Source organism: Homo sapiens, chromosome 5 (assembly GCF_000001405.40).
Source record: "Homo sapiens chromosome 5, GRCh38.p14 Primary Assembly".
Lineage (NCBI taxonomy): Eukaryota > Metazoa > Chordata > Mammalia > Primates > Hominidae > Homo > Homo sapiens.
Window position 1 is genome coordinate 116,075,484 of NC_000005.10, and position 15,277 is coordinate 116,090,760.

At 42.8% G+C, this 15,277-nt stretch overlaps 1 protein-coding gene across 5 annotated transcripts in view, besides 3 other annotated features; it reads left to right on the forward strand.

Annotated features, from left to right (window-relative positions):
* Positions 1,036 to 1,185: an enhancer, noted in NCBI's record as "active region_22943". NCBI's record gives its function as "activates an Ori minimal core promoter by ATAC-STARR-seq in GM12878 lymphoblastoid cells {active_cell/tissue: GM12878}" and the evidence as "EXISTENCE:reporter gene assay evidence [ECO:0000049][PMID:35858748]".
* Positions 9,336 to 9,495: an enhancer, noted in NCBI's record as "active region_22944". NCBI's record gives its function as "activates an Ori minimal core promoter by ATAC-STARR-seq in GM12878 lymphoblastoid cells {active_cell/tissue: GM12878}" and the evidence as "EXISTENCE:reporter gene assay evidence [ECO:0000049][PMID:35858748]".
* The window catches only part of COMMD10 (COMM domain containing 10), a 208,263-nt gene continuing 202,527 nt past the window's right edge, over positions 9,542 to 15,277 (forward strand). For 3 of the 5 annotated variants that reach the window (NR_146220.2, NR_146218.2, NM_016144.4), the window contains exons 1-2: positions 9,542 to 9,610; positions 12,014 to 12,104. Coding sequence is in view for 2 of the 5 variants with exons in the window: in NM_016144.4 (NP_057228.1) it covers positions 9,570 to 9,610; positions 12,014 to 12,104 (132 nt within the window). In the remaining 3 variants the exon portion in view is untranslated. The other 2 variants (NR_146219.2, NM_001308080.2) reach the window with 2 other exon arrangements.
* Positions 9,789 to 10,083: an enhancer, noted in NCBI's record as "tiled region #6; HepG2 Activating non-DNase unmatched - State 1:Tss, and K562 Activating DNase unmatched - State 1:Tss". NCBI's record gives its function as "activates a minimal TATA promoter and a strong SV40 promoter by Sharpr-MPRA in HepG2 and K562 cells {active_cell/tissue: HepG2 | K562}" and the evidence as "EXISTENCE:reporter gene assay evidence [ECO:0000049][PMID:27701403]".

Below are 15,277 nucleotides of genomic sequence, written 5' to 3' on the forward strand. Positions count from 1 at the left end.
TTCTTTTGTAAATTGCCCAGTCTTGGGTATGTCTTTATCAGCAGTGTGAAAACAGACTGACACAGGTGTCTAGACTGATGATGCCATTCATGCAGCAGGGAGGTATGTAACAAGATTTATTACTTACATAATGAGGTTTTCTGGGGAGAGCAGAGCAGACTCTCAAGCAAAACCAAAAATGGCTTACGACAGCAGGGAAGGCCAATTGGCCTGGGGCTTTATGGTGGTTGGGGGTCGGGCCAGGATGAGGTTTCCCTGTTGCAGTCAGGGGCTTACGTGGCTTGAATTTCTCATCAGTGCCAGAGAAGGAAACAGCTGGGCTTAACACTTTGCCCAGATGTGGGGCAGAAGGGGAAGAGGGAGTAGTGGGGCTTGAAATCTGTCAGCCAACATCAAAAATGGAGTCAGACTCCTTATTATCATATTTGAAAGTATTTTTGTGTCTATTTGTTGGGTTCTTTGCCTTGGAGACAGTAATCTTTAGGTTGGTTTTTGTTATTAGTATCTACTTTGTGTTTGTCTCATTCTTTGCATTCACTCTGAATAGCCCCTCTGCCCTGTCCATAATTCAATTTAAAATTGTGTGCAGTCTTTTCCTTGCAGTTTCTAATTTACATCATAAGAAATGGTGTTTTTAATCCTTTCTTTGATTTCCGTGTTTTACATCTAATTTTGATATTTTGTCAAGTTGTCTTTTAGCTCGTTTCACTGAATTAATTTCCTTCTTAAGTTCTATCTCAAGAAGGATTCAAGTGGAATTTTTGTTTTTTGCATACTCTATACCTTTTATGTATTTTCCTGTAAAATTATTACACAACTGTCATGGCATTTCTTCCTATCCTACTTGTGTTTAGCATGAACAGCTCTGCCCAGACCTCTATTTTCTCTGGTATGTCTTCTTGGTTCTTTTTAATGTGAGATTGATTTGTCTTTCCATCTATGCTAGCTTGATGACTCAATATTCCATTCTACTTTTTAATAAAAGCTTAGGGTTGAGGGTAGCATTTATTAGTGGCTTTAGTTTTTACTTTCTTAGTTCTGAGATTTTGTCAACTGTCTTGTATCAAGATTCACTTGACTGGTATGGGCATGTCCAGTAGCTGAGGGGGTATCCCCCAGGCTTCAGATCAGTCCTCCTTTAATGGTAGAGTCCCGGAACCTCTGATTCTTCCTGAGTCAGCCCTGGTTTTTACTTCCCCATTTCATTCTTTCATTTCCACTTAGTATAGAGAAAGAATCAGAGTGCCTGTGGGTTTCAGCCAGTGTTAACATTAAGGCAGGCAGGGTGAGGGAAGGCTATTTTCACTGTAGCTTCAATGTAATCATCTTTTCCACTGGCTTTTTGTGTGGGTGTCTTATTTTTTATTTTCTCTTTTATCTTCAACTTTCATAGCTTCCTATTCATCATTTGAGATAATTAGATGTATTTTGTTTTTCTGCCTTTTTGCTCTACTTTTTCCCTCACTCAGATACATCAAAAGAGTGACCTCCGGAGCTTCCTCTGGACTCCGCTAGTCCTGCATCAGCCTCAGGCATTTATATTCTCCAGGTATTTTTCATGATTTCTTCTTGGCTGACTATATACCTCCAATTCTGCTCCTCTCCAAGTTTGGGGATATAAAGAGAACGCTCATGGTTTTGTGGAAACCTTCTTTTCCTAGCACAGTTTCAGCAAGTTGGGGACCACCTTTAGGATCCAGCTTAGCTAAGGCAGAAGTTCGGTTTCTTTTCTCGTCAGATCATTTTTCAAGTGTAGTATTAACTTATGCTTGTTTGTTTGTTTGCTGTTAATAAGTTGATTTCTTTTTCCTGTTGTCTATTTATGATGTTTACTTTTTTTAGTTTTTTTTACTAGCTGTGGCGTAAAAGGGAGTCTGTAATCTTGCCTCACTCTGACATGTCCACCGATTCTTTTCAAATGGTGTTCACAGGTGAAAATTACTGAAGAAAGCACTCTGTCTTTCACACATCCTATGTGTAAATATCGGTCCTGTTAATGGCACAGACCTCTGGGAGGCAGGACGGGAAAAACTAGGTGCAAATGAAAATGGACGAGTGATAATTTGAGATGGTCTTCAACTTTTAAGTTTGAGAATACATTAGGAGGGGATCTGTTCATATATTATAAAGTGTATTTTTGCTACATTTTAATAAATATTTCCCTCTCATCCTCTTCCCCACCCTCCATTTGTTTAAGGGTGGGTGAACATAAATATTGTTTTTTATGGGAAAATGTGGCCTACACCCTGGATACTATTCTCTGTTTCTTGCTTCTGTTTTTTTTTTTTTTTTTGAGACACAGTCTCACTCTGGCACCAGGCTGGAGTGCAGTGGCACGATCTCGGCTCACTGCAACCTCCACCTCCCGGATTCAAGTGATTCTCCTGTCTCAGCCTCCTGAGTAGCTGGGACTACAGGTGCGCACCACCATACCCAGCTAATTTTTGTATTTTTAGTAGAGACAGGGTTTCACCATGTTGGCCAGGATGGTCTCAATCTCTTGACCTCGTGATCTGCCCTCCTCGGTCTCCCAAAGTGCTGAGATTACAGGCGTGAGCCACTGCGCCCGGCCATTTCTTGCTTCTTTCTACAGTACAGCCTGTTGTGCAAATATTCAGAGAATAGATTGTGTTCAAGCATTCTTTATTCCCTATGTGTATCACATTAAACAGGAATATTCACATAAGTAACTCATAAATAAAAATATGTAATTTTAAAACTTTATCCCCCTAGGACTCTGGGGAGGCAATGTGAAATGAACAATTACATGTTTACTATCTAGAAGGCTGTTCTTCAGTTCCACTTCAATTGATTCTCTCACACCTATGAGGCAAGTGCTGACTGCAGAGCTAAAAACAGGGCTAGAAACTGCATGTGTGTGATGGTAAGGAGAGGGAGAAGAGCGTGTGCAGTGCGGGGTGGGAAAGAGGAAAACTGGGGCAACAGCGTCTGCAGGTGAACGTGACAAAGCTGTTCAATATGAAGTTTGTGTTTTATAGTCAGTCTGGCAGTCAGACATGGGTAGCAGATAGTTTGAGTCTCCTGCCTTTATACGTCTCTTTGCTAGATGCATTTGATGAACTCAGGATAAGTTGTAGGACTTCAGACTTTCAAAATGTTAAGGAACTGGGTCACATAGTTGGGCAACCCTTTGCCAGAACAATCTGAGGTACATAATAAAATGCCTGCATCCCCCTATTTGAGAATATATATCAAAAAATTACTTAAAAGATCATTTCAGCTGGACTAGGTTTCTGGGGACACTATTCTGGTGGGTGAGTAGGTGTTACTCTTCCTCCAAAGATAATCATTTGCATTTGGGACTGGAATGTCGAAGGATAGATTTGGGTGAGGATCCCTGGTGTCTTCAGAGTTCCTTTAGGGTTGGGGGAAGACTTCTGGGAGAAAAACACCCCAGATCTTGGCTTTACATCACTGGGTGTCAAAAATATAAATCACGCCTGATGGGGGGAGGGCGAGTGTACAGTGGCGCTGTAGGTAGAGGCCACTAAGGAGCCCTTCCAAACAGGACAAAGCTCACACTCAGAGGGAAGTTTTAGCTTCCAGGATACAGGGAGGGCTGACACCAGAACTTACTCCAAGTTGTGCCATGATGTACTCTGGGCAAACTAGGTGAATGTGAATTGAAAAAGCTGCACAGTAAAGACTGAAGCAGTTAGGGCCTAAGCACCTCTTGTTTTGAGACTCCACTAAAGGCTAGAACTGTCTCCAAGTTATGCCCCTCCCCAGGTAAGTTCAGCCCCACTTGTTTCCAAGGCTTCAGCATGTTGCTCTACTTTCCTGACAAAATGGCCCCTGGAAACTCTGACAGTTGCCATGGTTTAAAGCTCCTGTCACTCACTGCCACCCTTGGCAGGGCAGAGGGAGGGGGATAAGGAAGGGGCTATGGGCAGGGACTGAACCATGGGTTCCTCTTCTGCTATAGCTTCAGGACTCAGTTCCTATTCTATTGGAACCAGGGAAGCTCTGAATTTTCCAGTGGGGCTGCCTAGAGGCACCAGGTGACATATCCTAGAAATGCAGGAGCATGAGTTATAGGACAAATTTTGATGAAGAAAGAAAAAATTGGAAAGAGTTCACAGACAATTTCTTTCTTCCACTCCCACGCCATGTTGTTCCAAGACACAGTGATTCTGAATAGCCTCTCTGGAAATATCCCAGAGTACTGAGAAATAAGCTAGGTTTTGAAGCTGTAACCAGTTCGATAACATGCCACCCTGTATTTGCTTTCTCCTTACCTTTCCTTAGTTTCCCTTTTGCCTGCATTCCTACTCCCTTGCAATTATAGTTCCTGATGAAGGATGTATAATAACTAGGCTTGTTTTCTAGAAAAGTCAGGCTAATACAGAATGTAATAAAAAGTGGACTTCATAAAAGTTTGCAATGGATATTTTACTTGGCTGGCAAGATGGCCGAATAAGAACAGCTCCAGCATGCAGCTCCCAGCCAGACCAACGCAGAAAGCGGGTGGTTTCTGCACTTCCAACTGAGGTACCCGGTTCATCTCATTGGGACTGGATAGACAGTGGGTGCAGCCCACAGAAGGTGAGCAGAAGCAGGGTGGGACATTGTCTCACCCGGGAAGTGCAAGGGGTCAGGGAACTCCCTTCCCTAGCCAAGTGAAGCCTTGAGGGAAGGTGCCATCCGGCCCAGATACTACGCTTTTCCCAGGGTCTTCACAACCCGCAGACTAGGAGATTCCCTCAGGTGCCTACACCACCAGGGCCCTGGGTTTCAAGCACAAAACTGGGAGGCCGTTTGGACCGTGCTAGCTGCAGGAGTTTTGTTTGACTCCAGTGGTGCCTGGAATGCCAGCGAGACAGAACTGTTTACTCCCGTGGAAAGGGGGCTGAAGCCATGGAGCCAAGTGGTCTAGCTCAGTGGATCCCACCCCCATGGAGCCCAGCAAGCTAAGATGCACTGGCTTGAAATTCTCACTACCAGCATAGCAGTCTGAAGTCAACCTGGGACGCTTGAGCTTGGTGGGCGGAGGGGCGTCTGCCATTACTGAGGCTTGAGCAGGCGGTTTTCCCCTCATTGTAAACAAAGCCGCTGGGAAGTTCCAACTGGGTGCAAACCCACTGCAGCTCGGCAAAGCCACTGTAGCCAGACAGCCTCTCTAGATTCCTCCTTCCTGGGCAGGGCATCTCCAAAAGAAAGGCAGCAGCCCCAGTCAGGGGCTTATAGATAAAACCCCCATCTACCTGGGACAGAGCACCTGGGGGAGGGGTGGCTGTGGGTGCAGTTTCAGCTGACTTAAACATTCCTGCCTGCTGGCTCTGAAGAGAGAAGCGGATCTCCCAGCACAGCACTTGAGCTCTGCTAAGGGACAGACTGCCTCCTCAAGTGGGTCCCTGACCCCCATGCCTCCTGACTGGGAGACACCTCCCAGCAGCGGTGGACAGACACCTCATACAGGAGAGCTCCAGCTGGCATCTGGTGGGTACCCTCTGGGACAAAGCTTCCAGAGGAAGGGGCAGGCAGCAATCTTTGCTGTTATGCAGCCTCTGCTGGTGATACCCAGGCAAACAGCATCTGGAGTGGACCTACAGAAAACTCCAGCAGACCTGCAGAAGAGGGGCCTGACTGTTAGAAGGAAAACTAACAAACAAAAAACAATAGCATCAACATCAACAAAAAGGACACCCACATAAAAATCCCATCAGAAGGTCACCAACATCAAAGACCAAAGGTAGATAAATCCACGAAGATAAGAAAAAACCAGCGCAAAAAGGCTGAAAGTTCCAAAAACCAGAATGCGTCTTCTCATCCGAAGGATCACAACTCCTCACCAGCAAGGGAACAAAACTGGATGGAGAATGAGTTTGATGAATTGACAGAAGTAGGCTTCAGAAGGTGGGTAATAACAAACTCCTCTGAGCTAAAGGAGCATGTTCTACCCAATGCAAGGAAGCTAAGAACCTTGATAAAAGGTTACAGGAACTGCCAACTAGAATAACCAGTTTATAGAAGAACATAAATGACCTGATGGAGCTGAAAAACACAGCATGAGAACTTTGTGAAGCATACACAAGTATCAATAGCTGAATCAATCAAGCAGGAGAAAGGATATCAGAGATTGGAGATCAACTTAATGAAATAAAGCATGAAGACAAGATTAGAGAAAAAAGAATGAAAAGGAACGAAAAAAGCCTCCAAGAAATGTAGGACTATGTGAAAAGACCAAACGTATGCTTGATTGGTGTACCTGAAAGTGATGGGGAGAATGTAACCAAGCTGGAAAACACTCTTCAGGATATTATCCAGGAGAACTTCCCCAACCTAGCAAGGCAGGCCAACATTCAAATTCAGGAAATACAGAGAACACCTCAAAGATACTCCTCGAGAAGAACAACCCCAAGACACATAATCGTCAGATTCACCAACGTGGAAATGAAGGAAAAAATGTTAAGGGCAGCCAGAGAGAAAGGTCAGGTTACCCACAAAGGGAAGCCCATCAGACTAACAGCGGATCTCTCTGCAGAAACCCTACAAACCAGAAGAGAGTGGGGGCCAATATTCAACATTCTTAAAGAAACGAATTTTCAACCCAGAATTTCTTATCTAGCCACACTAAGCTTCATAAGCGAAGGAGAAATAAAATCCTTTACAGACAAACAAATGCTGAGGGATTTTGTCACCACCAGCCTGCCTTACAAGAGCTCCTGAAGGAAGCACTAAATATGGAAAGGAAAAATCAGTACCAGCCATTGCAAAAACAGACCAAAATGTAAAGACCATTGACACTATGAAGAAACTACATCAACTAATGGGCAAAATAGCCAGCTAGTATCATATGACAGGATCAAATTCACACATAATATTAACCTTAAACGTAAATGGGCTAAATGCGCCAATTAAAATACACAGACTGGCAAATTGGATAAAGAATCAAGACCCATTGGTGTGCTGTATTCAGGAGACCCATCTTGTGTGCAAAGAAACACATAGGCTCAAAATAAAGGGATGGAGAAATATTTACCAAGCAAATGGGAAGCAAAAAGAAGCCGGGGTTGCAATCCTAGTTTCTAGCAAAACAGACTTTAAACCAACAAAGATCAAAAAAGACAAAGAAGGGCATTACATAATGGTAAAGGGATCAATGCAACAAGAAGAGCTAACTATCCTAAATATATATGCACCCAATATAGGAGCACCCAGATTCTAAAGCAAGTTCTTAGAGACCTACGAAGAGACTTAAGACTCCCACACAATAATAGCAGACAACTAAAAGGACTTTTCATGGACATAGATGTCTATATTCCAGAGAATGCAGAAATATCTTGGGTGAGGTTCTCATTTGAGGTGTGAAACTATTCACAGCATCACGCCTTTATAGAAACATGGTAATAAGAAGTAATCAGCCCATCATTGAAAATGAAGAGCATTAGAGTGAGTCGCCTCTGTGTCCACTGGAGACTTGCTTTTGTGAACACCTAAGAGGTCTGGGTTTTGTTTTCTAAGGAGGGTAGAATGTTTCTTTTACATACGTACCACATTATTTAAATCTCATTAAGATCCAAGGGAGCAGACATTATTCTCATCCCCATTACAGATTGGGAATGAGAAACTTGTTGAGGTTAAGTACTTTGTCCAAGGTTACATGGATTTGGGATTTGAGCCATCTTGATGCTCTTTTGCTCAAAATTCTGGCTATATATTTTTAAGGCAATCAGAGGGTGAACTTCATTAGGGATTTGAAACAGTTTTAGTTGGTTAGTGGTTCTACTTCAGGTAAGGAATCAAGACAAAAGGGAAATGATTCAAAGAATGAGGGAACTGGGACCCTTTTAAGTTGCAGATGAGGTCATCTGTGTTTGGATCAGAGACCTATAATTTATGTAGATTCACATACATCTTTTTCAGATATGCATACATTGGGGACTGTAGAGTGTTGTGGAACTAAATGTATTTGTATGTGTTCAACACACTGTATAATTGACTCAATTATCCATGTGGAGATTATTCAGATTTAATGTGCAATCTGGTTTCTCCTTTCAGTTAGGTTGTTCTTGGGCTGCTCCAGGAACTCCAACTAATTTAAATAATAATTTAAGTAAAACATAATTAGGAAGGAAAATTAAATTCAATTTTTTGGCAGCTCTTGAATATTCTACTGCTGAAACGTAACTAATCCATCCACTATCTTTTAATTCACCAATGCCTTTTTAGTACCACAGGATTTTACTGCTTTCTATAGATTATTGCAGTAGTTTCCAGGTAGCTCTCCTGCTTACCTCTTTCCATTTCAATCATCATTCTGCTGACAGCAACCTTCAAAAATCCAACTCCCACTGCAAAATTTCTTTGGTTCAAAACATTTAATGGATAGAAAAAACATTTAATGCTTACCCATTTCTCACCAGATTAAGTGCACATGCCACAACCAGTCATTAAAGGCTTTTTCTAGTCTAAATTCCTGTTCTTCAAACGTCAAACCGCCCTTCTACTCTACTGACCTGAAACACACAGCCTCACCCTCCACATCTCTGCAGACCCACCGCATTTGCCACCTGCCCTAGGGAGCTTTTCCTGATCTTACCTCGGATGCCTTTCACTGCTCCCACATCTGAATTCCTTTAACTCACTCCATGTTTTTCTCAAAGGCAGACCAAGGTATTTATGCAAACATGGTGTCTCCCTAGTCTTGGGTGAGGTCTTTGACATCACTCACTGCAGCGATTCATCTCCCCTACTCTGCACTGTCAGACTCTAAAGAAGGGTGCAACAAATACTTGTCCATTTAGACTGCCGGCAAACCCTGAGGGCAGGAATTTTGGCCTTTTGTATCTCCAGTGCCTAGAACAGTGCTTGGTACACAGTAGGCACTCATTCATTGAACGTTGCTGAAGGAATTGAACGTACATACTACAAGCCCTGCAGATGCAGATACAGGAGGGGTTGACGGCACAGTGCTTAGGGTGGAACTGGAGGCACCACCTCTCCTGAGGGGTGATGCGCCGCTTCCTGGGCAGGCTCGGGGGAGCTCGCTCAAATGCCTGCCTCTCTGTAGCCCAAACGCTGGAAAAAAAAATACTCACAAATCACCTATCCAAGTATGTACACACAGGCTCACTTAAACCCGCCCTATTAAAAAAATATACACACGCACACACCATTTATCCAAGTATGTATACACGGGCTTGCTTAAACCTGCCCTATTAAAAATAATAATGTATATATTTATGCACGAACATACACACATATATCTATACAGGTCTGTACATAGACTTGCTTAAACCTGCCCTATTAAATACAGACACACACCCCTATCCAGGTATGTACATACATATATAATATATAAATATAAAGACATATATATGCACAGACTTAACTCCAACACGATTGGAGTGTCGGGAGGGCAACTGGGCTGCCCTCTCCGCCCTCCAGGACTGCGGGACAAGTCTCCCGGCGCCCGGGTCGCAGGAGACCCGGAGCCCTAAAACGGCCCCTGCGCGGCTTGGGCCTTCCGGCTTTCCGTCCGCCGCGGCCGCCATTGGCTGGGTTCGGCGCAGCTAACAGACGGCGGCAGTGCGAGAAAGCCGAAGATGGCGGTCCCCGCGGCGCTGATCCTACGGGAGAGCCCCAGGTAGCTGATCCGTTAAGCTCTTGCGGTAGCCGCGCCCAGGAAGGCCCAGATCGGGCTCGCACAAGGCTGTCCTTGCTGCCTGCCGCCTGGGCGCCGCGGCGGGCCCGGTTGAGTGGGGTGGGGTGGGGTGGGCTGCCGAGGTTGCGACGCTGCGTCTGCGGAGTGCGTGGGGCCGTGTAGCGCCTCTACAGTCACGGTGGTCCACCTGTGGGGCTCACAGTGCGCCTGGCAGCTGAGGTCTGTACGGAAGCGTGTGGTCTGCAAGCGTGGGGTCTGCGTCACTGTTCGCGGAGTTTGGTATCAGAAGTTCCCGGGTGCTGCCTTCAGTGCTGCCGAATCACGTGGAACGGTATTCCGTTTCCGATTTCAGTTCCGGTTCAGACACTCTGGTGGGAAAGGCTCACGCTGCTGCTGGAGGGTCTTTAATAGCCAACATGTGTTAATACCCCTTTTAAATCAGTATCGAATAGGGGACCGAATTTTTGGTTGGTAGAAGAATCTAGCCTGGCTTTGGTAGCATTTGCTTTTATTTGCATTTTAAACAGATTTTTAGTTAATTTCTACTTATGGTAGATAAAGTTGGTTGTCCATGGTAGTGATATAAAGCTCCCCTTTAACATTATTTAAGTAAAAAAAGACTCAATTTGTGAAAAAATAAGCAATAGTGCAGGTAGCGTGTGGATACAGAAAAAGTACTGAAGTATATAGGCAAAATAGTGTTCGGAAGTAATTTCTTTGTGCTTGGATTGGGTAGAAATCTTTCAGAAGAAAAGAGTTATTTTAAAGTTTTTCCTTCTTTCTGGATTCCTTTTGTTACCAGTGGAGGGTGTCCAGGTTCTTGGCGTCTTGAACAAAGAACTGGAGAAGACGCACAAAGAAAGCGAGGAAAGAATGAAGAAGACATTTATTGAAAATGAAACTACCCTCCACAGTGTGGGAGCTGCTTGAGCATAGGGGCTGAAGGGCCCCTACAGAATTTTTGGGAATTTAAATACCCTCTAGAGGATTCCATTGGTTACTTGGTGTACTCCCTATGTAAATGAAGAGGATGAAGTAAAGTTACAAAGTCATTTTCTCCGCCTATGCCATATGGAGAGGACATTTCTTGTCATAGCTGAAGTGGGAATCAGCTTTATGTTCCCAGCCTCCTGACCCTATTTTCCTGCCTCACTTTGGTTCTGATCGCCAGTTTCTTTCCTCATACCAGTGTCTTGGGGAACACCGCTACATCAGTAAACTGTATCCAATATGGTGCAGTATAGAATTGTTCTCATCACATCATTTAAAGTTGATTATTACAGGAAAGGTGCTGTGGCTCATGCCTGTAATTCCAGCACTTTGGGAGGCTGAGGCGGGCTAATCTCTCTCTCTTTTTTTTCCCTGAGAGGGCGTTTCCCTCTTGTTGCGCAGGCTGGAGTGCAATGGCGCCATCTCGGCTCACTGCAGCCTCCGCCTCCTGTGTTCAAGCGATTCTCCTCCCTGAGCCTCCTGAGTAGCTGGGATTACAGGCACCCGCCACCACGCCCAGCTAATTTTTTGTATTTTTAGTAAAGATGGGGTTTCACCATGTTGGCTAGGCTGGTCTGGAACTCCTGGCTTCGGGTGATCTGTCCTCCCTGGCCTTGCAAAGTGCTGGGATTATAGGGGTGAGCCACTGCAGGACTGATTGAGCTCAGGAGTTCAAGACCAGCCTGGGCAACAGGGCAAAACTCTGTCTCTACAAAAAATACAAAAATTAGCCAGCGCTGTGGCCCGCGCATGTAGTTCTAGCTACTTGGGAGGCTGAGGCACAAGGATTCTTAGAACCCAGGAGGCAGAGGCTGTAGTGAGCTGAGATCGTGCCACTGCACTCCAGCCTGGGTGACAGAGTAAGACCCTATCTCAAAATTGATTACTGTTGTAATAATAAATTTGATTTTACAGTTGAAACAGGGTTTTAAAATAACTGTGTGCTTAGTGACCCCAGATGATTTTGTACATAGTATTTGAAAAGTTATTTGCCTTGCAGTATTCTTTTATGTTTTTGGTGTAATTGCCATAATTGCTATTCCTCTCCTCCCACCCCTTTCAGAGTTCCATTTTTGGGTTAAGTGTTTATATAAACGCTCTACTAAATTAAGGCTCTTCCCTGCGCAGTACAAGGTTTCCCTAGTAGTTTGGTTTGCCCAAAAGAAAGAGAAAATTTGCCAAATGGACCTTTTCAGCAGAAGTAATTTTGGGGGCATCTTTTTGGAAATGTACCCGTTGCCCTGCCTTTTTTGCTGGCTGTCATCTGTTTTTATTTCACTCAGATTTACCATATAGCATTCAGAGTTGTTGGAATGAAAACTTATAGACAACTATAGAAAGTGCAGTTCAACTTGGAAAACTCATTTCAAAACTCTGTTTTATAATTTTGTTTAGCATGAAGAAAGCAGTGTCACTGATAAATGCAATAGATACAGGAAGATTTCCACGGTTGCTCACTCGGATTCTTCAAAAACTTCACCTGAAGGTTTGTATTTGTGTGTTTCCATGCCTTGTAATCTTCCTTCTGATTTAATTGAAAGTCTGATTATTTGGAGAACTTTTTGCAAAGCATAGTGTTCTCCAATATGTTCTTAGAGACACTGGTTCTGTGGAAGATTTGGTAATGTTTCATGGTCAGAAGTTTGAGAAACTCTGTCTTCAATAAAGTTAAATGTTTTAAATTATGGAACTTTTCAGAGTATTTTATATGCTAGTGTTTGTGGTATGTATTCGAGGGTGATTATGGCAGGTAACATTTTCCAAATGTGTTTGACCTTGGATCTGTTTTATTATGGTATATATTTTGGGACTAAAGTTCTAAAAATATACTTTAGGGAAAAATTCTGATGTCTTGGTTTTATTTTTCCGCTTAAAAATAATTCTGTGGTATTTTCTATCAACTGGTATTTAATCTTTCACTTAATTTTGTTTCTCTTTCACTTTTATTTTAAGGATATGGTTGTTTTGGACATGTGGATGCTTTGTAATTCTCTACCTGGCCCAATCCAAGTTAATTTAGTTAATTTCTTTATCAGGTTATAAAAATTTGATTCCATCTCATATTTATGGAGCACCCACTAACTGCTCTGTGCAGTGCCATGTATCACCATCCATTGAGAACCAAGACTCTTACTCTGTCATCTTGTTTTTCTTGGCCAAGAGCCAGCCTCAAAACTGTGCCTTTCCCCTTTGAAGTGTCTTTCAAATCCAAGTTCTCACAATTCTAGGTCAAATCTTTAGTACCTCTTTTTTAGATGACAATAGTTACCTTCAAGCTGGTTTCCCTGCCTATAGTCTTCTTGCTTTCTACTGCTTCATAATACTATGTAAATTACTTTCTAAATTTTTTTTCCTGAAACAAAGATGTATTATATTTTTTACAGTGTTCAAAGCCATCAGTGACTGTCCATTGCCCTATGGAGAAAAGTTAGAAATCCTTAACATTGCGTACAAGTCCCATTGTAGTATGGCTGCAGTCTACATTCTCCTCATTTTGTAAGTGCTGCAGTTACACTGGATGGTACCCATTTACTACAACTTGCCATGAACTTTTTCAGCAATGTGTCTATGCATATACTCTTTCCCTTGCCTATAAATGTCCTTCTTCCCCTTTACTGAGTAACTTGTTCATCCTTCAAGGATTTCACAATCTCAGTCTCAGCAGTTTGTTCTTTCTTCTGTGCTCCTAGTTCATTCTCACCTGATTTTAGTACTGCATCATAAGTATTTGTTTCATGATTAGCAGGCAACCAAATCCCCAAACCTATTAATGTGTCTTCCTCTGGTTTTAAATATCTTGAGGATTATGTCTTACTCATCTTTATGTTTCCCATTCCTAATACATTGCTACTAGTATAGTTGGCACTCAGTAAATGTTCTTGAAGTTAATTATTTTCCTTGCTGTGGAAAACACAAAACAAACCTAAGTCTTCTATAATATATTCCTTTTTCTAAGGAATTTGTGAGGTGGATGGAGAGAAAGGAGAAACTGCAATGATAGCGGCAACATTCTGTGGTATTTGCTGTTCATAAAGTTACATTGGCTTGTTTTTGACTGTTGTGGTGCTAATGGCTTTGTGTTACTAACTCATCTAATCCGTATGGCAACTTGAAAACATAGGTACTGTGGTCATCTCTGGTCATCTTCATTTTATCTATGAGGTAACCAAGATAGAGATAGAGATCAGTTAAGTAACTTTCCCAAGGTAACACAGCTAGCTAGTTGGGCAACTTGGCTCCGTAACTCTCTCCCTTATTACACGAAACCTCAGGAAAGAGTATGGAACATTTCATAAATTGGCCCAAAAGTGAATGATGTGGGTAATACAGATATTCTGCTTTATTTCTTCAGCTGGTGGGTGCTTGCTTATGTATAAAAATATGGGACAAGAAACTCTTATACATGTCTTTTGTTCTTCACACTGAGGGAGTGGAGAACTTGCACAGAAAATTGTGATGTTTAGTTTGTCTTTGACACTCTCAGTCATGTATGGAGTTGAGAATAGTTAGTATCTATCTTAGAGTTAACTGAGTGGCTAAAGCATTCCATGGAGGAGCTTGAATGCTTTGCCATCAGAGGTAGGGGAGTGGAGAGGAGAAGAGGTGCTTGTTGAAAAGTGAAGTTACCCGTCCTGCTGGCATTTAATGTCCAGGGACTTTTAAATAAAGAAACATATGTATGTGAATACTTGCCTGCTAAGAAGACGTCAGGAAAGGTCTAATTGTTTTTTTCCTGTACAGTTTCAGGGGATCTTCTTTTAGAGGGGCTCCTATTTTGATAAGGGCTTTTCAGTCAAGTTTGCAGTGCATTTCAGGATCTGCCTACTTTCATTTATGTATCCCGACTCCATCGAGTTGGCCTTTACCTTGAGACAGAATTCTTAGAATAGTGAAACTGAGGCAGGCAGATTGGTGAAGAGGTTTAGGGATTTTGTTGCCCCTCTACTGGTACTTTTATTTTATTAAGTTTGACCTGTTTATGGGCAGAAGAGATGTATTTGTCCAGACTGGTTCCTTGGAATCCCAAGGGGGAATCAATATGAGGGACTAAGACAACTTAGGTATAGAATGTGGGCATGCCAGATTATGGATCTGGGAGTCCTCTTTGGCCATCTTCTTGGCTCATCCTGGCATATACAAATACATGGAGATTTTGTTTCTTTGTTTGTTACAATGTGTGGAGGGTGCTTCTGGTATTTAACGTCCAGGGACTTTAAAAATATTTTACAGTGTTTAGGGCAGTCCTGCACAAAGACTTGTCTCATCCAGCGTGCCAGCGGTTTGCATTGGGAAATGCTGATGGAAGTCAGGTGAACTTGCATAGCTGGGAACTTAGAAATAAACATTTGTGGCCTTTGCACTTCAAAAATAACTGTCACAACTCATGCAATAAAAAAACTCATGTACTTGGCTCCATAGGAGAGATTTTGAGGCCCTCACACAAAGCCTGTTGAGATAACAGTGCTGTATATCTAGTTTTGAGAGGTCAGCTCTCTGGGTTCCTGACCATGGCAGACTAAAAATAGCAAACTGGGGGTTGAAGGTACTGTCATGGGGCATGTAGGCAGCTTCAAGAAATGACTGCTGATCATGAAATGAAATGGGAGAATTATGAAAATCACACCCAAGAAACATAAAAGGACAGAAGTCTGAGATTTC